General features: G+C 45.6%; 1 protein-coding gene and 1 non-coding gene across 5 annotated transcripts in view; both read left to right on the forward strand.

Moving 5' to 3' along the window:
* The window catches only part of ARPC2 (actin related protein 2/3 complex subunit 2), a 37,160-nt gene extending 19,009 nt beyond the window's left edge, over nt 1–18,151 (forward strand). For all 4 annotated transcript variants that reach the window (NM_152862.3, XM_017003113.2, NM_005731.3 and 1 more), the window contains 6 exons: nt 2,467–2,653; nt 3,194–3,287; nt 9,223–9,349; nt 13,167–13,267; nt 13,624–13,724; nt 17,694–18,151. In NM_152862.3, the coding sequence (NP_690601.1) occupies nt 2,467–2,653; nt 3,194–3,287; nt 9,223–9,349; nt 13,167–13,267; nt 13,624–13,724; nt 17,694–17,718 (635 nt within the window). In that variant the 3' untranslated portion in view covers nt 17,719–18,151. The remainder of the gene's footprint in view (nt 1–2,466; nt 2,654–3,193; nt 3,288–9,222; nt 9,350–13,166; nt 13,268–13,623; nt 13,725–17,693) is intronic.
* TRY-ATA1-1 (tRNA-Tyr (anticodon ATA) 1-1) lies at nt 9,629–9,721 on the forward strand. The gene is made up of 2 exons: nt 9,629–9,665; nt 9,686–9,721. It is a non-coding gene; the product is annotated as a tRNA-Tyr (tRNA).
* Nucleotides 18,152–22,541: the final 4,390 nt, after the last annotated feature.

Consider the following 22,541-nt stretch of genomic DNA (forward strand, 5'->3'; position numbering starts at 1 on the left):
ATCCTCAGTATATTCTGTTCATCATGTTAGAAGCCTTACTTAAAGACAGACTTTACCTTAGCTATAGTTTTATTTGCTCTTATTTGGCTTCCTAAAACTAGCAAACCTCAGCTCTAAATCTTTTCTTTTTTAATCTAACCTTGTAATCTGTGTGCTTATTTGGTTTTCAAGTACCCAAAATAGAATGATGATTGATATTATTTAATACTGGAGTGCCTCTCCAGTATTAAATAAAATGTGCTAAGCATTATCTAGAGCAAAGATTTAGCCCATCCTCCCGAAGAGCCCATGCTCAACAAAAAACACAGACCTCAGCCGGGCGCGGTGGCTTATGCCTGTAATCCCAGCACTATCGGAGGCCAGGGCGGGCGGATCACCTGCATTCAGGAGTTCAAGACCAGCATGACCAACATGGAGAAACCCCGTCTCTACTAAAAGTACAAAATTAGCCAGGCCTGGTGGCGCATGCCTGTAATCCCAGCTGCCTAGGAGGCTGAGGCAGGAGAATCGCTTGAACCTGGGAGGCGGATGTTGTGGTGAGCCGAGATCATGCCATTGCACTCCAGCCTGGGCAATAAGAGTAAAACTCCATCTCAAAAAAAAAAAAATACAGATCTCAGGAATGCTTTTGGGAAAAAATGAAATAGTAATGAGGTTTCAGATACTTAGAAGTGTGAAAGCCATACAGTTCTGGTGAAGTTATTCCCGTCAGTTGCCTAGAATATAAAATGATCCTCAGTGATGTAGAAATATTCTTGCAAAAACATCTCTAGGCAGTTTGACACTTATTAATCATTTGATTCTATAATCAAGTGTTCCAGCCGGCTTCTGGGAATTCATAGTGGACATGCTGTAAAAAGGCAGGTCATCCAATGGTTTCAGTCCATGTTCTGCACCCGTATTGATGACCTGTCATGTTCCACACACTTTAAGTATTGAACATTCTTTTAATGCTCACAACATTCTCCCCTATCTCCGCACCCCCTGCCCTGCTCCTTTTTCTTTTTTTCTTTTTTTTTGAGACAGAATTTCACTCTTGTTGCTCAGGCTGGAGTGCCGTGGCGCGATCTCAGCTCATTACAACCTCCACCTCCCGGGTTCAAGCAATTCTCCTGCCTCAGCCTCCGGAGTACCTGGGACCACAGGCGTGTACCACCACACCCAGCTAATTTTGTATTTTTATTAGAGACGGGGTTTTGCCATATTGGCCAGGCAGGTCTCGAACTCCTGACCTCAGGTGATCCACCCACCTTGGCCTCCCAAAGTGCTGGGAATACAGGCTTGAGCCACTGTGCCCAGACCACCCTACCTGCCCCCCACCACCAATTTTTTTTTTTTTTTAACAGATGAGGAAATTAACAAGTCAGGCAATTTTTTTTGTTTTTGTTTTTTTTTTTTGGAGCTGGAGTCTCGCTCTGTTGTGCAGTGGTGCAATATCAGCTCGCTGTAACCTCCACCTCCTGGGTTCAAGCAATTCTCCTGCCTCAGCCTCCCAAGTAGCTAGGATTACAGGCGCCCGCCACCATGCCTGGCTAATATTTGTGATTTTAGTAGAGACAGGGTTTTGCCATGTTGGCCAGACTGCTCTCAAAACTCCTGACCTCAGGTGATCTGCCCACCTTGGCCTCCCAAAATGCTGGGATTACAGGTGTGAGCCACCACACCCAGCAGTTTTTTTAAGGTCACAAAATGACAAGACTAGGATTTGGACCCAGTTCTGTTCGACTCAAAATAGAGTGCCCTACACTTATGTGTCATGCTGCATTTGGCAAGTCACGTCACTTCTTTGAATCTCCTTTTCCCTCTGCAAAACAGTAACCTTATCTAGCCTGCAGACTTCAAAGGTGGTTATGGAGATCAAATGAAGTAAAATGTTTTAAAAATTGTACAATATATACCAATAAAAGCTATTGGGGAGGTATATGTATGAACAGGTAGTTGGTTTTTCTACCCTGCCACCTCATAAAGAGTTTGCAGTGGCACGTAGAAGGGTTTATCTTATTATCACAAAGCTACCCATTTGCTGGCCATACTGATACTTGGCACATTAAACTATCAGAGAAATATATGTGGCTCCTTTACAACTGTGTCTAGAAGGGTACATTTCCAATCAGAGTTCCCAGGTTCTGACTTTCTCCCATTACATATTTGTAATTAGTCATCTTTGATACTGATTCAAATTTTTGATTAACATTAATTATATATATTTACAAGAATCTTATAAAAATTAAGATTTTATTTCACCTCATTTTGCCCTGTGAGATAGATGGAAATAGACTATATTCTACCCAGGTTAAAAGTACAGATAATGAGACAAAATGTCAATAGAACCTGAAAAAAGATTTTTTTAGTTGCCTCTAGTCTCTGTTTACTTGGTATAGATAGTATGCTGCTTTTTTTTTTTTTTTTTTTTTTAAATGTAACTGCTGGGTTGTTTTTTGTTTCTTGTTTTTTCTTTCCCTCCAGGATACAATGTCTCTTTGCTATATGACCTTGAAAATCTTCCGGCATCCAAGGATTCCATTGTGCATCAAGCTGGCATGTTGAAGCGAAATTGTTTTGCCTCTGTCTTTGAAAAATACTTCCAATTCCAAGAAGAGGGCAAGGAAGGAGAGAACAGGGCAGTTATCCATTATAGGGATGATGAGACCATGTGAGTATAGAATTTGGTCCTGAAGCCTGGATATGGCTGCTACACCACCATGGCACTTACTGAAAGAAATATGGCTTGGTCAAACTTTCAGCTGTATTGCGTGAAAATGTTTTTCTCATAAAATGTCTTAAGCCAGGAAGTAGATGATAGGGCAGAAATCAGCCACTCCTCCTACTCTCCAGATACTGAGAGCTGACAGATGGTGGAAAGAGAATCCAGTGCTTTCCTTTAAGGCACCACTGTTCTGAGTCATGTTTAAGAGTATAGCCTGGATAATCAGCAGGCAGGGTGACCATAGGTCCATGTTATATTTACAAGTCAATAAAATCTACTTCTGATAATTTCCATCTGCTGCCTCTCTTAGGGCATTCATTTTGTGCACTGACTTTGTTGACCATAAATATCATCTCATTTGGCACACCTTTATATTATGATTTAAGAGATTTATGACTTTAGCCTTCTGATGTACTTGTAGATCAAGTTATTGACAAAACCCCATTCTGATTCTGTACTTATCCTCATGGATTTTGTTCCTCTCAGGTATGTTGAGTCTAAAAAGGACAGAGTCACAGTAGTCTTCAGCACAGTGTTTAAGGATGACGACGATGTGGTCATTGGAAAGGTGTTCATGCAGGTATGGAGCAGACATCTTGGGGGAAACCCATGCATGGCGACTTATACCTTTGCACCCAAACATACCATGAGCGTAGGAAAGAGATCTAGCAACTCTACTGATGTTAGAATTTTTTTTTTTTTTTTCGAGACGGAGTTTCTCTCTTGTTGCCCAGGCTGGAGTGCAATGGAGTGATCTCGGCTCACTGCAACCTCCGCCTCCCAGGTTCAAGCAATTCTCCTGCCTCAACCTCCTGAGTAGCTGGGATTGTAGGCATGCACCACCACACCCAGCTAATTTTGTATTTTTAGTAGAGACGGGGTTTCTCCATGTTGGTCAGGCTGGTCTCAAACTGCCGACCTCAGGTGATGCCCATCTCGGCCTCCCAAAGTGCTGGTATTACAGGCATGAGCCACCATGCCCAGCCTTGACGTTAGAATTTGTTGAAGATTTAATAGACAACTCCCACAAAACTCAGTGAATATTTTTTGTTGCTGCTGCTGTTGTTTTGAGGTGGAGTCTTGCTCTGTCGCCAGGCTGGAGTGTAGTGGCACGAACTCAGCTCACTGCAACCTCCGCTTCCTGGGTTCAAGCAATTTTCCTGCCTCAGCCTCCCAAGTAGCTGGGATTACAGGCACGCGCCACCACGCCCAGCTAATTTTTGTACTTTTAGTAGAGATGGGGTTTCACCGTGTTGGCCAGGATGGTCTCAATCTCCTGACCTCATGATCCGCCCGCCTCAGCCTCCCAAAGTGCTGGGATTGCAGGCATGAGCCACCGCGCCCAGCCTGATATTTTTTTTCTCAGTGGTTTAGTTTTGCAGGACAGAACTAAAGGGTAAGTTGAGAATTAAACATACTAACTATGAATGAATGTTATGCATCCTTCCTACTGTGGGGTCTTTGACCTAAAACTTTGTCAGGTTTCCTAACCCTAACCTCTTGTGTTTCCTCAGATTTCTAGTAAGGTGGCTGCTCTTGGTTTGGTCCTAAGGTCTTTTCAGAATGGACTGTATAGCCAATTATTTGGTAGTAGATAACGCATGAACAGGTAGAGTTGTTGAACTGACAGACTGAGCCTGAGTTTGGATGGGTCACCATAGAGTACTTCCCTCACAAGAAGCTCATCTTAAGAAGAGTCATGAGAGGCCAGGCGCGGTGGCTGACGCCTGTAATCCCAGCACTGTGGGAGGCCGAGGTGGGCGGATCACGAGGTCAAGAGGTCAAGACCATCCTGGCCAACATGGTGAAACCCCGTCTCTACTAAAAAAATACAAAAAATTAGCCGGGTGTGGTGGCAGGCACCTGTAATCCCAGCCACTTGGGAGGCTGAGGCAGGAGAATCTCTTGAACCTGGGAGGCAGAGGTTGCAGTGAGCCAAGATTGCACCATTGCACTCCAGCCTGGGCAAAAAGAGCGAAACTCCGACTCAAAAAAAAAGAGAGTCCTGAGAGTTAGCAGGGCATTTTGTAATTGGATTTTTGGTGTAGTTGCATTCAGGTCATTGTGTACCAGTCTGCTGGCCAGTTAGTTGCTGCCTCTAGGATGGACATGAGAGTTCATTGGTCAAGTGACATTCAGGCTGGTTTCTTCTGAGATGGCTCAGCATTCAAAATCTAGTACAATGGTAAAATTTTTTGAAAACGTTACTACCTTCATTCTGTTCCTTGGCAGGGTGGTAAAGATTTTTAAATTCTGAAGCAGAATCTCTTTTGCCAAATAGAGTTGAAAGACAGCTGTGCTTAACAGTAAAGATACTTTGCATAGCCTTCTAAGTGGCTAGGAAAATCTTCAAAAGTGATATTCTCAACTGCTCCATCCCTAGTGGCTTTTGTATTTTGGCTAATTAATCAGAAACTAGTTTGGGAGTCACTATACAGAAAAATTGGAATATTGACACTTCAGCATTTGCTAGTGCTGAACTTGATGAAGGAATATATAAATATACATGTATCTCTTGGGTCCTAAAAGTAAGCCTCTAGAGAGGCATTTCATGTGTTTTTATGCAGAATTGACAGGGGAATTAAATGCAGTAGCTCAGAAATTGGGCTAAATCCAGAGTAACAAAACTAATTTTAAAAGCTCTGAAGTATATATTTAGATTTGGCTGGTTTTTTACCAATCTTATTCCATTTTATTCCAGGAAACAACTTATTTTTATACTTTAAACAGATCTTATCTTGGAGAGTGTACCGGAGATTTGTTCCTTAGGAGAATTTTGTGTATTCTTTTTTGGCATATGATTTAAATGCCTCCTTCAGGGTACCTGTGGTAGGGCACTTACCTAAAAGGAAAGACAAAGCCTCTTTTGCATTTTGGCACTAACAGGATCTCTGGATAGTAACTGGCCTGGTGCAGTGCTAGCTAGACTCAGGAAGTCATCTGCCCTGCCACCCTTTCCAAATTCAGAGGCTTAGGTAATTTGTTGGAAATGACAATCGGAAACTGGACTTTTGCTGGATTTTCCCAAAAAATAAATAGAACTTTTTCCTAGGCCTGGAATTGTAAATTTCTCGGAAAAAGAATGAGGGACACCTGGCACAGAAAGTTGTACCCTGAGAACACTATTTGAAGTTCCTCATGGTCACTAGTCTACTTGTTGCCAGCCTTTGTGGCCTTTCCCTTCCAGCATGCACATCCAGCCTGATCAGAATTCAAGTCTTGCTTTTGTCATTTGGCAAGCAGGCTCTGAGGGATGCTTTCTACCTCTCAGAAAAAGACAGGAAGTGTATTCCTCCACACTAGTGGTATGGGCATATCAGCTGAGTACTGGAGAATGTCTGATAGAAGCCATCATTTCAATGCTTATTCCATGAAAAGCAATAGGACCAGTAATTATGCTTTTGGAGATTAGCTTATGGTGAACTAGAATTCTTTTCATATTCTAAGATTTTAAAGTCAAGTTAGTAACTAAATAACCAGGAAAAGTTAAGTGGAAACCACTGGTTTTTATATGTTCAGGGACAAAGACACAAGCACCTGCCTCTTAGGCAGTTGTAAAGATGTATTTTGAGGGCCCTTTCTGCCTGTTTGCATGTGTGGGTATGTCTGTAGGATATTTTCCTGAACTGGGAACACTGAGTCCAAGTCAGTAATTTTGGTAGACATTGCCAAACTCTTCTCCATCAGGGTAGTGGCATTTTATCATCTACCAGTGATGGAGAGGAGTGCCTGTTTTCCCAGAGTATGTTGTAAACTTGTGGATTTCTCCTGATCTGATAGGTTAAAGGTGGTATCTGTGTCTGCTTATGATGACATAAAAAGATGTTCTGAGGTCAGAACATCTTTTCTTAATGTTATAGACCATTTGATTTTCTTATGAAGTGTCTCTTTATGTCCTTTACCCATTATTCTGTAGGGTCATTGAGCTTCTCAATTTCTTTACATACTAGGGAGAGTAGCCTTTCATCTGTGATTAAGAGTTGAAATATTTTCTCCAGTTTGTCATTGGACCGTGTTTTGTGGGGTTTTTTCCACCATGTGGAAGTTTGTTTTTACATAATCAAATTAATCAGTCTTGCCTTTTATGGCTTCTAGATTTTGAGTTATAGGTAGAAAGCCCTTCCCTACTCGAAGGTTATAAAGAAATTTACCTGTTATTTTCTGAGTATTTTTACAGTTACATATTTTATACATGATTTTTTCTTATTTGTTGAGAGCTCCTCTTGTTGTATGGTATGAAAGAATGATCTTTTTTTCCTAAATGGCTATCCAGTGGTCCCAGTGGCAATTATTTCCTTTTTTACACCCCTGATTTAAGATGCTACTTTTATCATATGCTAAATGCCTTGTATATATTTGGATTTATTCCGAACTTCCTATGATAAATAGTACTTTGGAAGAGAGAAATAATCTGATGCTCAAAAGACATCCTAGCCAGAAGGAGAGTAAAAAGGCAATATTGCTTGATTACGTATAACAAAGATGCCAATGAAGATGGAGGGCTGTTTGGGTGTGTTTGTTTGTTTAAGCTTTATTTAGGAGAGAGAACTGAGGAGAAGCAAAGACATCAGAGAATCTAAAGAATAGTCCCAGTCAGGCACAGTGGCTCACGCCTGTAATCCCAGCACTTTGCGGGGCCTAGGCAGGTGGATCACTAGAGGCCAGTTTGAGACCAGCCTGGCCAACATGGTGAAACCCTGTTTCTACTTTAAAGGCCAAAAATTAGCCGGGAATGATGGCACACGCCTGTAATCTCAGCTACTCGTGAGGCTGACACATGAAAATCACTTGAACCTAGGAGGTGGAGGTTGCAGTGAGCCAAGATCACGCCACTGCACTCCAGCCTGGGTGACAGAGTGAGACCCTGTCTCAAAAAAGAAAGAAAGAATAGGCCCAAGCCAGAAACGTATCGTTGACCGAGCCTTAAATATGTTATTTTCCATATACAAAACTAATGAGTGCTAATAAGTCACCACTGGTTTATAAATACCCCATCTCATTGTGAATACCACATGTACCTGTGAATTAGAGCCTTGGAGACACTTAACAGACACAAGAAAATGCCAACAGTTACGTATCTGTTCTGTTTAATTCCTTAATACCGAAAAGTAAAACCAGTAAAAGTTAAAAAGCTTCTTAACCCCTTTGTAGAATAAAAAATGTTTTCTAGAGAAGGGCGATTTTAGAAGCTTTGCTCTAGAAATTTCCATTTGGGATAATCTTGACTCCTTCCCTTCCTTTTTGGATATTTTTCCTTCGGGGAACAAAATCTGTTCAAAAGGGGACTAATCTAACCCAGTTGATGGTCATTTCTTTTCCTACTTAAAGCTTGGTAGTGTTAGCATGAGAGGCAGTTTGTGAAATAGGTGAGGTCCCAGGCTGGGCATTGGGGCTCCTCAGCCATCATCTTTCTTTTGCCACTAATTGTCGAGAGGGCTTGCTAATCAGTGTTTATTCTTCCTGCCTGCAACTGGAAACAGCCCTTGCCTATTCCTGTACAGTGTGATGATACTAAACCAGCTAGGGTAGAAGCACTTGCTTTCTCTCAGCAAGGCATGTGCTGCATAGCCTCTTTGAAAGACAGAAGAATAAATTACAAAGATAAATTAAGCAGGATCTTTGATTTGAACTCATAACCTGGTAGGGGAGCCAGATACATTAATGAATGGTAAAATATCATAGTAGAGGTTTGTAGAAAAGACATGGCAGCTCCAGCAAGAGAGCAGTACCTGCCTGGGTTTGTTGGAGATGGTATTAGGAGGCAGTATTTGAGCAGCAGTAGAAGGGCACGCAGGCCACATGGCTGTGTAACCATGCCTTCAGAACTCCTAAAACAAGAGACCTTGGAGAGTCCTTGGCAGCATCCTCCTGCTGTCTATCATCTTGGAAGGCCCACTTGATGAATTTGGATTATCCAGTTTTACTGGCATTGCTAGAAAATCTACTTCTGTTCTTGCAGATCTGGCTGAGAGAGAGAAGCCTTGTATTACTTGTCTATTTACATAGGAATGTATGGACTGTAGAAGCTTCAGGTTTGGAGATTGGAACATAGAAGGAAGGGCTTCCTTTATGAGCACCAAGACAACTCAGCTTCTTTCATTCCATTGTCTTCTGTCCGCAAGAAGAGCTTAAGTTTGCTCTAAAGATTTTATTGATGAATTCTAAATAGCAACAGGATCCTCAGTGAAAAAAGACTCATGCAAAGTCCCAGAGCCCAGAGAAAGTATGGTAGTTTATCACCTATGTTAGTGCAAAGGAAAAGGATTATCACTACTTTTCATCACATTTTGAAGATCTGACTTATTAAGTACTTTGCAGTCTCTCCCGTTTGAATCTGAAGTGTAGTGGTAGCAGCTAGCACTTGTCATATTTCAGGTTTGGTGTAGTTTATTTTTAACCTCCTGCTGGTCTGGAGGGCTACAAAGGTCACACCACATAGAACAAACCCTATAGCTTGAGTTGCCACTCATCTTACACCCACTTCTCTTCTGGTTGCTTTTGCTTTGTCTTGGCAGGAGTTCAAAGAAGGACGCAGAGCCAGCCACACAGCCCCACAGGTCCTCTTTAGCCACAGGGAACCTCCTCTGGAGCTGAAAGACACAGACGCCGCTGTGGGTGACAACATTGGCTACATTACCTTTGGTGAGCAGGGTGCACTTGCTGCTTTTGTGCCGCTTTAATGAGTTCACACAGCAGAATACCTAAATCTGCACAGAACCTTGGTTAACATTTTAAGGTAGGCAAACGCAGGCATACCAACTTGTTCCTGTTGCCATTGCAGTGACTAAAGGAGGGATGTCACAGGGTATTAATTACAGAGCAGGCCATATGCTATTTTTGTACAGTAATCCTTTCCTTTTTTTCCCCATTTTTCTTAAATCTTAAAAATAAGACTGAATTCTGATATCAAGAGTTAAGGTCCCTTCAATAGTTCAGCTGGTAGAGCAGAGGACTATAGCTACTTCCTCAGTAGGAGACGTCCTTAGGTTGCTGGTTCGATTCCAGCTTGAAGGAGACAAGTACAGTTTTGGCTGGGCACGGTGGTTCATGGCTGTAATCACAGCACTTTGGGAGGTTAAGGCAGGTGGATCACGAGGTCAGGAGATCAAGATCATCCTGGCCAATGTGGTGAAACTCTGTCTCTACTAAAATACAAAAAAAAATTAGCTGGGCATGGTGGCGCACGTCTGTAGTCCCAGGTACTCCAGAGGCTGAGGCAGGAGAATTGCTTGAACCCGGGAGGTGGAGGTTGTAATGAGCTGAGATCGTGCCACTGGACTCCAGCCTGGGCAACAGAACAAGACTCTTGTCTCCAAAAAAAAAAAAAAAGAGTTGAGGCTGGGTGCGGTGTCTCACGCCTGTAATCCTAGCACTGTGGGAGGCCAACATGGGCAGATCACCTGAGGTCAGGAGTTCGAGACCAGCCTGACCAACATGGTGAAACACTCCGTCTCTACCAAAAAAATAACAAAGAAATTAGCTGGGCGTGGTGGTGTGCGCCTGTAATCCCAGCTACTCGGGAGGCTGAGGCACAAGAATCCCTTGGACCCAGGAGGCGGAGGTTGCAGTGAGCTGAGATCACACCATTGCACTCCAGCCTGGATGACAGAGTGAGACCTTGTCTCAAAAAGAAAAAAGAAAAGAGTAAAGGATAGGCGGGGCACAGTGGCTCATACCTGTAATCCCAGCACTTTGGGAGTCCGAGGTTGGTGGGTCACTTGGGTCCAGGAGTTTGGGACCAGCCTGGATAACATGGTGCAGGCTCATCTCTACAAAAAGCAAGGGGCCAGGCACAGTGGCTCACACCTGTAATCCCAGCACTTTAAGAGGCCAAGGCGAGCAGATCACTTGAGGTCAGAAGTTCGAGACCAACCTGGCCAACATGGTGAAACCACACCTCTACTAAAAATACAAAAATTAGTTGGACATGGTGACATGTGCCTATAGTCTATAGTCCCAGCTACTCGGGCAAGCGAGGCATGGCAATTGCTTAAACCCAGAAAGTGGAGGTTGCAGCAAGCCGAGATCATCCTGCTGCGCTCCAGCCTGGGAGACTGTCTCAAAAAAAAAGATAACTAGGCATGGTGGTGCATGACTGTAGTCATAGCTACTTGAGAGGCTGAGGTGAGAGGATCACTTGAACCCAGGAGGTAGAGGCTGCAGTGAGCTGTGATGGCACCACTACACTCCAGCCTGGGTGGCAGAGTGAGACCCTATCTCACCAAAAAAAGGAGTTAAGAAGAGAACCACCTAAGCAGCTAGATGGGGGTTCTCTGTCATTTGGCAATTCTTGGTTTTTTGCTTATTAAGCCCAAGCTCCAGCCGTGATCCACTTACTCCACTTTTTCGCGGAATAAATTCAGGTCTTCCTTCAGTTGCTCCAGCCTCATGCACTGGCTGATTATGATAGCTTACAGTTTGGAATTAATAAGCTTGTTCACACTGCACCCAATGCCACTGGAATGTCTCCTTTGTGAAATGTAATTTAATTCACCTCAGTGGTAAAGGTGAACCTGTTTATTGGTGATGAATCTGTTGATTTACCAAATTTCATTAAATCTAAACTATACACTTTTTTCTTTTTTCTTTCTCTCTGTCACCCAGGCTGGAGTGCAGTGGTGTGATCTCGGCTCACTGCAACCTCTGCTTCCCAGGCTCAAACAATTCTCGTGCCTCAGCTTCCCAGGTAGCTGGGACCACAGGCGTGTGCCACCACACCCGGCTAATTTTTGTATTTTCAGTAGAAACAGGGTTTCCAGCTGGGCACGGTGGCTCACGCCTGTAATCCCAGCACTTTGGGAGGCCGAGGCAAGTGGATCACGATGTCAGGAGATCGAGACCATCCTGGCTAACACAGTGAAACCCCATCTCTACAAAAAATACAAAAACTTAGCTGGGCGTGGTGGTGGGTGCCTGTAGTCCCAGCTACCCTGAAGGCTGAGGCAGGAGAATGGCGTGAACCTGGGAGGCGGAGCTTGCAATAGGCCAAGATCACGCGACTGCACTCCAGCCTGGGCGACAGAACAAGACTCCGTCTCAAAAAAAATTAAAAAAAAAAAAAAGAAACAGGGTTTCCATGTTGGCCAGGCTGATCTCAACTCCTGGCCTCAAGCAATCCACTCACTTCAGCCTCCCAAAGTGCTGGGATTACAGGCGTGTGCCACTGCGCCCAGCCAGCTATACCATTTTTTTCAAGTTTTTGTCTTTGAAGCTGGGATGCATCTTACAATTCATAGCATGTCACACTTTAATTGGCAGCATGTTTCTCTTGTGGTACATAAAATTATGGCAGACTTACAGTCATAAGCACCTTAGATTCTTTGAAGTATAGTTGTCTTCTGTTGTGGTGTTCATTTACTTTCAGGCCAGGGCACATTGACACAGAAATTCCACACTTCCTTAGGAGGCATTCCTTTTCATTTCAACGAAAACTTCAGACAACTGACGGGGTTTTGCAGATAGTGAGTAGAGGAGGTGCAGCAGGTAAAAACGATTCCAGAAAACCAGGGCAAGAGGGGCATGCAGGCCTGCTGTAGTGCAAAGGACTTTGTGATGAGCACACAGGTCTTTTTTTGAGATGGAGTCTTGCTCTGTCACTCAGGCTGGAGTGCAGTGGCACCGTCTTGGCTCACTGCAACCTCCACCCCCCGGGTTTAAGCGATTCTCCTGCCTCAGCCTCCTAAGTAGCTGAGATTACAGGCACACGCCATCACATGTGGCTAATTTTTATATTTTTAGTAGAGATGGGGTTTCACCATGTTGGCCAGGCTGGTCTCAAAACTCCTGATCTCAGATGATCAGCCTGCGTCAGCCTCCCAAAGTGCTGGGATTACAGGCGTGAGCCATCGCGCCCAGCCTCACACAGGTCTTTAGGTGGCTGGTGTCACAGGGTGGACTTCAGTCAGGCCCATTCAGAGCAGCTCCTCCTGCCTGGCCTATCATGAGGGTTCAGGTCCTTACACCTTATTGTCTGTTTTCACAGTGAGAATATGGGAAATTCTCTGGCATCTGTTTTCTGGGAAGGTTTACTCTATTTCAGCACCAAGGACCTAAGACAGGCAGCTGCATTTCCTAATCCTGATTCCTTAAAGTAAACTGTTACAGCCAGTTAGTGTGATCCTGGAGTGTGTCCAGCTGCAGAGGCAAGAGCTAGTACCTGTGTGGCAGACCGGAAATAGATTTCAAAATGCACAGCTGCAGAATTCAGGAGTAGAATGAAGGCCTAGGGTCAAGCCCTGTTTTTCATCGTGGGCTCCTCCATTCACGCTCGTTGACACCTTTCCTGGCCATGCTGTTTAACTTCCATGTCAAGAAAAAACCCTGACAAAGCCTGGTAATACTGACACAAGTGGAGTGTACTTAAGCAGAGAGGGAGTGATGTTCACTAGGCTGTTGTTCTTCCCCACCCTTTGGCATTTGTGTCGTGTCCTGACGCCTTGTTTGTGTCTTCCGCCTTCAGTGCTGTTCCCTCGTCACACCAATGCCAGTGCTCGAGACAACACCATCAACCTGATCCACACGTTCCGGGACTACCTGCACTACCACATCAAGTGCTCTAAGGTGAGGGGGGTGCCAGCATCTCAGCCTCTATGCTCTGGGTCTTTTCCTCCACCAGAACTCCTGACAGAAAGTCATTCCATTAGTCTACGCTGTGGATATTGACTCTTAGGTAAATAATTCTAGAGGCTTCAAGAAACCATGGTCTTTCTTCATCAAGCCACTGTCCCCCATCCCTCCCTATAGCAGAGATGAATATTTGTTTCCAGAATTGCTCACCTTCCTGCTTCCCTGCAGGGCCTGGGTCAATCCCAGGGTGTATGTTCCCAACCGCCCTTGATGACCTCTCTGATGAAAGACAGCAAAGCTGTCTTTCTAGACCATGACTGTGCTTTAGTACCTGTTATGTTTGTTCCCAGGCCTATATTCACACACGTATGCGGGCGAAAACGTCTGACTTCCTCAAGGTGCTGAACCGCGCACGCCCAGATGCCGAGAAAAAAGAAATGAAAACAATCACGTAAGTTAGGCAGCACCCCAGCGACCACCTTCCTCTCCTGAGTCACCGAGAAGGAAGCAGTGGGCGCTGGTGGCCTGGTCCTCCATGTATCTGGGCACTGGCTACATATGAGGTCAGCAGGGCTAAGTAGATAAACCAAAGGTGGGATTCCATGTTCTCACTGCCATATAGGCCAGGATGGGTTTCCTTGTTTCCGTATCTTTGTGAGCTATGAGAATGGCAGCTAGGAAATAAACAAAGTTTACCAAGAGACTGTTCTTTTTGGGCCTGAGTTATGAGGTCAGTCTTGTGCTTTTGGTGGTCTTTCTGGAGAGATGGAGTAAGTTGCTTAGGGACCTTTAATTGGGTAAATAGGCCTGAAACCACCCCACTAAGTGTTCTTTTTCCTGGTCCACTCTCAGCAGGAAGTTTGCATGCAGAGGAAGGTTCTCTTTATCAGGGATAGAATTGAGGAGAGCCGTGACGGGCGCTGTGGCTCACGCCTGTAATCCCAGCACTTTGGGAGGCTGAGATGGGTGGATCACAGGGTCAGGAGTTCAGGACCAGCCTGGCCAAGACGGTGAAACCCCATCTTTACTAAAAATACAAAAAAAATTAGCCGGTCGTGGTGGCAGGTGCCTGTAGTCCCGGCTACTCGGGAGGCTGAGGCAGAGAATTGCTTGAGCCCAGGAGGCAGAGGTCGCAGTGAGCCAAGATTGTGCCACTGCACTCCAGCCTGAGCGACAGAGTAAGACTTAGTCTCAAAAAAAAAAAAAAAAATTTGAGGAGAGCCCTAAATAGGGGTGTGGCTCTGCATGCAGGAAAGGCGAGCATGGCCTAGAGCCTAGAGAGTTCCATCTTTGTGAAAGGTGCCAGACCTTGGTTCTTCTGATGAAATTCAGGCAGTCCTGTCCTTAAGATAAGGTAATAGTGTTCATTTGCTGGTTTTTGTTTGTTTGTTTGTTTTTTGGTGGGGGTGTTGGGGGAGACAGAGTCTCACTCTGTCGCCCAGGCTGGAGTGCAGTGGCGCGATCTCAGCTCACTGCAGCCTCTGCCTCCCAACTAGCTGGGACTGCAGGTGCACACCACCACGCCCGGCTAATTTTTTGTATTTTAGTAGAGATGGGGTTTCACCATGTTGCCCAGGCTGGTCTAGAACTCGTGAGCTCAGGCAGTCCACCCACCTCGGCCTCCCATCTGCTGTCTTTTGTACCAGTTGAACTAAAAGTCTTGAGGTCATAAGCCTCCCTCACAGCCAGTGTTATTTGCCAGCACCCCAGTACTGTTGTTGTTTTGTTTTGTTGTTTTGTTTTTGTTTTTTGTTTTTTGATACAGAGTTTCGCTCTTGAAGCACAGGCTGGAGTGCAGAGGCACAATCTTAGTTCACTACGACCTCTGCCTCCTGGGTTCAAGCAATTCTCTTGCCTCAGCCTCCCAAGTAGCTGGGACTACAGGCGTGCGCCACTAAGCCCCACTAATTTATTTGTATTTTTAATAGAGACAGGGTTTCACCATATTGGCCAGGCTGGTCTTGAACTGCTGACCTCGTGATCCACCTACCTCAGCTTCCCAAAGTGTTGGGATTAAGGAGTGAGCCACCGCGCCCAGCCCAGTACTCTGTGATCCCCAGCCAGGCTCAACCTCCTGGGCTCAAGCAATCCTCCCATCTCAGCCCCCCAAGTAGCTGGGACCACAGGCATGCACCATCACAGCTGGCTAATTTTTGTATTTTTGTAGAGACGGGATTTCACCATGTTGTCCAGGCTGGTCTCGAACTCCTGGACTCAAGTGATCCTCCCACCTCAGCCTCCCAAAGTGTTGGGATAACAGACATGAGCCACCACACCTGGCCCAGCACTCAGTACTCTTGAGGCAAAGTTTTAGTGGGTGTGGTACGCCTAGGGCTTTACACTCTCTCTCTTGCATTTGAGGGCTCTTCTACCAAGTTAGTTTCTGCTGTCATTTGAAAGGATGAGAAAGAGATCAAGGACTTGAGCAGTAGGTGAGGGTTTTCAGACATTGTCAAAAAGCAGTTTAAGGCCAGGTGCGGTGGCTCACGCTTGTAATCCCAGCACTTTGGGAGGCCGAGGCAGGCGGATCACCTGAGGTCAGGAGTTGGAGACCTCCAGCCTGACCAACATGGAGAAACCCCATCTCTACTAAAAATACAGAATTAGCTAGGCATGGTAGTGCATGCCTGTAATCCCAGCTACTCTGGAGGCTGAGGCAGGAGAATCAGTTGAACCCGGGAGGCAGAGGTTGCGGTGAGCTAAGATCGCACCATTGCACTCCAGCCTGAGCAACAAGAGCGAAACTCCATCTCAAAAAAAAAAGCACTTTTTAAGTCACCTCGACTTCTTTAGGCAAAGGCCTGTCTCTGTAGCAGCTCAGAGAGGAGTGTCCAAATGCCATGCAATGAAATGGCAGCATCGTTTCTTTTCTGCAGCTTCTTGGGCAGATCTTTAAATGGGCAAAGTGACCAACAAGGTGGGTGGGCAGGTGAGAGGATGTGCTTGCTGCCTCTCCAGAACCTAGTCTCCATCCTGGTGTCTACATTTTCCCCTTTCCCTGCTTGCTCTACACAGGAGTACTTTTCTCACCGGGTACTTGTTTGGTGACCTGGAGTGTGAGGCAGTGAATTTCATGCTGCTTTCAGGGCCCAGTAGACAGGCAGTTCAGTAGAGGCCAAGAGGTAAACTGGCAGCCAGGTACAGTGAGAGGGAAGCCTGACCTGGCAGCCTGTGATAACCGGACTGGAAGGCTGGGCATCATAATAGTCTCAGGGCTGCCAGCATCACCTTTGGCACTGGTAGCTGCTTGTGCATCCAGGAGGAAGGCCTGTTAGGCAGCTGCTGCCCGATTCCACAGCCAGCAGGCAGTCGTGGGAGTCCCTGCCCAGTGAGTGCAGTTGTGTAGCGGGCAGGGATAGCTCCCTGTCCTGGTGAGAGACCCAGGAAGGGATGAATCCTTAAAATGAACAGACTGTTCATAAGCCTCCTCTCTGGGACTTAGAAAGAGCAACTTTGCCTTCTTCTGTGCTGCAGCTTCTCTTTGGCAGAGTTGGGCCCCAGAAAGGAGAAGCAGGAGACAAACAGCTGCATCCACCCTGAAAACCAGATTATGTTACTAATGGTGGGTAGGAGTTAAGTGACTCAGCTGTGGGCAGAAGCCAGGAACCCTCGATGGGCCGCCCAGAATTGAACACTCAGGAGCTTTTCATTTGGAGAGAAGGATAATAAGGTGTAGCTTCATTTTGGAATAAGCGATACATCCAAGACAGGGAAAATCTAGAGCCCATGTTTTTGCCCTGATTTCCCATAGTTCTCAGCTCTAGCTTCCAGGCTGCTTTCCCAGATACTGTTAGGTACCAGTTAGAGGCTCTGTCCTTGAGAACCACCTAGCCCATCTGGAGAAATACTGGGTGGAACAGGACACCACAATTCAGGAGCCTCGAACCAGGCAGGTGTTGTATAAGCCAGAGGAGGAGTCACCACGTGATAGCAGAAATACCTTTAGCCTTGGAAGTTCTGAGGATTGCTCTGAACCAGCCACCTGCCTTCATGGTGAGAGATAAAGGAACTGCTATCTGGGAGCCCTGAGAGGTATACACTGTGTAGGAGGAGCTGACAAATGAGGTAGTACTAAGAAGACGGTTTGAGCCTAGTCGGAAATTCAGGTACGTCTAGGCCATCCAGAAATTGTGAACAAGTGATTCTTCTATCTAACTTGGTACGTTGAATGTCCTTGTGGGCTTAACACTGATATTCCCGGGCATCCAAAGTATCCAATAGGAAGGAAGAGCTCGTGAAACCATTCTGTGAAAGCCAGATTTTAGCCGATGTCCTGTGGTTCCAGTGCCTCTGCTTAAGGAATCTAGCCCTTTCCACCTCTCATTTGGTGTTTCTTTGGGATCCCATCTAGTCTAGGAGTGTGGGGTGGGAGGAAAGGGCAGCCAGAAACTGACCTTCGCACTTATCTCTCCTTTTGAAGGGGGAAGACGTTTTCATCCCGCTAATCTTGGGAATAAGAGGAGGAAGCGGCTGGCAACTGAAGGCTGGAACACTTGCTACTGGATAATCGTAGCTTTTAATGTTGCGCCTCTTCAGGTTCTTAAGGGATTCTCCGTTTTGGTTCCATTTTGTACACGTTTGGAAAATAATCTGCAGAAACGAGCTGTGCTTGCAAAGACTTCATAGTTCCCAAGAATTAAAAAAAAAAAAAAAAGAATTCCACTTGATCAACTTAATTCCTTTTCTTTATCTTCCCTCCCTCACTTCCCTTTTCTCCCACCCTCTTTTCCAAGCTGTTTCGCTTTGCAATATATTACTGGTAATGAGTTGCAGGATAATGCAGTCATAACTTGTTTTCTCCTAAGTATTTGAGTTCAAAACTCCTGTATCTAAAGAAATACGGTTGGGGTCATTAATAAAGAAAATCTTTCTATCTTACATGAGAATTTGCTGGGTTTCTGGACTGCGAGTCCAAAGTGAGAAGAGAAGGAAGGAAGAAGGATAGACCTATACTACCCTTGAACCTGCAAACCTAAGCTGGGAAGCCCTAGTTTCAGGAGCCCATCAGGTTTAGATCCTCACCTTCCCTAGAGGAGAGAATGGCTGGCCAGTGAGCTATATTTAAACTTTTTTTTTTTCCCCCTGAGAGACAGGGTCATTACCTCCTGGGCTCGGGTGATCATCCCACCTCAGCCTCCCAAATAGCTGGGATTACAGGCGCATACCACTATGCCTGGCTAATTTTTTTTATTTTTAGTAGAGATGAGGTTTCGCCATCTTGCCCAGGCTGGTCTCAAACTCCTGGACTCAGGCAGTTTGCTTGCTTCAGCCTCTCAAAGTGCTGGGATTATAGGCATGAGCTATGGAACCCAGCGAGCTATTAATACAAACTTACATGCTTCCTTATAAAGCTTGGTCCCTGAGACTCTGTGGCTGCTCCTGAAGCTCCCTGGTCAATGACAGAGAAATTAAAGGGTTTTCTGGTTTATCTTTTTATTGTGAATAATGTGTGGAATTTCCCAAAATGTGTTCCTTAGTGTGTGGTCCTGCAGGACATTGATGAGTATTCAGGTGTGGGTCTGATGCAGACTAATTGGCCACAGTTTGTCTTTCTCACATGGCAGCCCAAAAGACTGCTCTCAGGGAGAGCAGTTGTCAAAAACAGTACAGAGCCTAGTAGAGCAGCTGTCCCCCAGCAGGACTCTGGTCCCTGAAATGAAATTGCTTCAGAAAGTTTGCTTGGTGTAAGGAATTAAGAGGAGAATTTTAGGGGCACCTGCAACGGTCTGATGGTCATTCTAATGGTTTCTGCCTTCCATCTATGGCAGTGTTTCATACTGGCTTGGGACCCATTAATTGTGGTGTGACTATATCACAACAAGCATTTTTGTTTTCTAAACTTTTGATTTTGAGATAACTGTAGATTTAAATACGGTTGTAAGAAACAATACAGAGAGATCCTGTATACCTTCCACTTGGTTCCCCCACCATGCTAACATCTTGTATAATTGTTGTATAACATCACAGCCAAGAAAAAATCATTAGTATAGTCCACACACCTTCAGATTTGGCCGGATTTACGTGCACTGTATGAGATGTACATCTGTGCATTTTTATCATACGTGTAGCTTTGTGTGACGCCAGCATTTTTAAGCAATTGAATAGTATCAGAGTGCATTACATCTGTTAAGGGTAAGTGTTGATGTGGAAACGTATTTTAGTTACATATGCACATCATGACTGGATTGTAGAAATGTCTCTTGACTGTGAGTCACAGTGGAGAATTTTGAAAACCACAGGTCGTTCAGTCATCAGACTTGATTTTATTTCACTAAAATGGGCTGCTAGAGAGCTCAAGGTACTCTGATTTCTAATTGGCTGCTCAGGGTGCCCCTGACCACTTACTTCTGGTACTTGGAAAACCTAGATTAATTGGATATATTGACAGCAACATATGCATTCTCTACCCCATGAGTTATTTAAGGGGTTTTCAAGTGTAATTTTGACTAGAAGCAGTTTTTGCTCTTTTTTTGTTTTAATTTTAGTTTTTAGAGACAGGGTCTCACTGTGTTGCCGAGGCTGTACTCAAGCTCCTGACCTCCGGAGTAGCTGGAACTACAGGCACCTGCCACTATGTCCAGCTGAGTTTTTGCTTTCTTCCTTAGTAGAACATAACTAATGTTGGAGCTCACTGTACTCTTTTGCCAGTAGTAGGAATCCGATTTCTGGTAAGTACTGTAGGTGACAGAACCAAGGTTGCTTAGAAGATATGGAGTTAGGAGAAAAATGAAAAGGCATAAATATTTTCTACAGCAGTAAATCCTAAGGAAGTAACTAGTTCCAAGACACTGTCAACATTAAAAATCCATAGTGCAGGCTGAGCACAGTGGCTCACACCTGTAATCGTAGCACTTTGTGAGGATGAGGAAGGAGGATTGCTTGATCCCGGGAGTTTGAGACCAGCCTGGGTAACGGTGAGACTCCTTCTCCATCTCTATAAAAATAAATCTGGCTGGGCACGGTGGCTCACGCCTGTAATCCCAGCACTTTGGGAGGCCAATGCGGGTGGATCACCTGAGGTCAGGAGTTTGAGACCAGCCTGGCCAACATGGTGAAACCCCATCTCTACTAAAAAAAAATTAGCTGGGCATGGTGGCGGGTGCCTGTAATCCCAGCTACTCGGGAGGCGGAGGCAGGAGAATCACTTGAACCCAGGAGGCGGAGGTTGCAGTGAGCCAAGATACGCCATTGCACTCCAGCCTGGACAACAAGAGCGAAACTCTGTCTCAAAAATAAATAAATGTGTAGTGCAGCCTGGACAACATGGCAAGACCCTGCCTCTACAAAAAATAAAAATCGGCTGGATGTGGTGGTGCATGCCTGTGGTCCCAGCTACTCAAGAGGCTGAGGCAGGAGGATTGCTTGAGCCCTGAAGGTCAAGGCTGCAATGAGCTGTGTCGTGCCACTCCACTCCAGCCTGGGCAACAGAGTGAGACCCTGTCCCAGAAAAAAGAAAAATCCATACTGGTGTAAACCCGTATCCAGATTGACTCTTCTCTTAACAAGGACACACTTGGCGTTAGTATGGATCTAGCCTCAAAGACCCTCGTCACAGATGAAGCAGCCCATCGTGACCAGTCGAGGCCTTAGGACCGCAGGAGGAATGTCTCAGGATGAGGGTCAAGCACACTGAGGGTGTGGGCTGGAAAAAAGGGATCTAGTTGTTTCTTCCTAGTCTCAGGAAGCCAGTGCCCCAAGGGTTCACACCTGGTAAGTGTAGGCGTCCTTGGATATGGGCTGTAGAGGAACAGTTTGAATCCAGGTGCCGCCATCTAATAGCTATGTGACAGCAAATTTCTTAATCTGAGCCCTGGTAGCCTCATTTAAATTGGACATAATGCCACCTACCTGAGGATTTGTAAAAGGAAAAGAGAATAAATGTCTGTTACATCATAAGCATTATGATGCCTGTAATTATAATGTCAATGAATCTTAGTTCCCTTTATACACTCAAGGGGATCAGAAGTGACAGGCTGTTGCCCCAGCAAAGTCCCACAGAAGCCAACCCTTATTCGGTGCTTGGGGTTTCCCAGGCTTTCCCCAAGGTAGTTGGTATTTTGGTATTTTCCCCTGCTTAAATGGCCCTTACTGCCGAGGCCAGGCAGGTAAGAATCTCCATGTCTGGAAAAAGTGGAACCTGGGGCAAACTGCAAGCTAAGGATAAGGAGCTTGGCAGGAAAGACGCTAAGACTCTAACAGGAAGTGGAAGGGTGGACTTGGAGGGGGAATTGAAATCAAGAAAAGGAAATAGCCCTAGCTGCTGCCTCAGCCTCCTTGAGGGGAGCTGATACTTGGAGTTGGTTGCCGTTAGGTTACCCTCATTTGGAGTAGTACTGATGAGTGCTCGACCGAAACCTGGGTCTACTCTGGTGGCGATTTTGAGTTCAAGCAGTGCTGCCCCCTACTGGGGGTTGCTAAAAGCACTGCCATTTCAGTGGGCGGGGGGTGTTGGTTCTTTTTGGTTTTTGGTTGGTTGGTTGGTTGGTTGGTTGGTTGGTTGGTTTTGAGACAGAGTCTCACTCTTCGCCCAGGCTGGAGTGCAGTGGTGCGATCTTGGCTCACTGCAACCTCCGCTTCCCGGGTTCAAGCAATTCTCCTGCCTCAGCCTCCGGAGTACCTGGGACCACAGGCCTGCACCGCCACACCCAGCTAATTTTGTATTTTTAGTAGAGGCAGGGTTTTTCCATATTGGCCAGGCTGGTCTCGAACTCCTGACAGGTGATCCACCCACCTTGGCCTCCCAAAGTGCTGGGAAAACAGGCGTGAGCCACTGTGCCCAGCCCACCCTAACCTTTTTTTTTTTTTTTTTTAACAGATGAGCGAATTAAAAGGTTAGGCGATTTTTTTTTTTTATTATTGGAGACTTGCTCTGTTGTGCAGTGGCGCAATCTCGGCTCACTGCAACCTCCCCCTCCTGGATTCAAGCGATTCTCCTGCCTCAGCCTCCTGAGCAGCTAGGATTACAGGTGCTCACCACCACACCTGGCTAATTTTTGTATTTTTAGTAGAGATGGGGTTTCACCATGTTGGCCAGACTGCTCTCAAACTCCTGACTTCAGGTGATCTGTCCACCTCGGCCTCCCAAAGTGCTGGGATTACAAGGATGAACCACCGCGCCTGGCTCTGATTTTTTTTAATCATCTTTATTTTGAGGCAGGGTCTCACTCTGTCGCCCAGGCTGCAGTGCAGTGGCGCCATGAAGGCTCACGGCAGCCTCAACCTCCTGGACTCGAGCAATCTTCACACCTCAGCCTCCTGAGTAGCTGGA

This window comes from Homo sapiens, chromosome 2 (genome assembly GCF_000001405.40).
Source record: "Homo sapiens chromosome 2, GRCh38.p14 Primary Assembly".
NCBI lineage: Eukaryota > Metazoa > Chordata > Mammalia > Primates > Hominidae > Homo > Homo sapiens.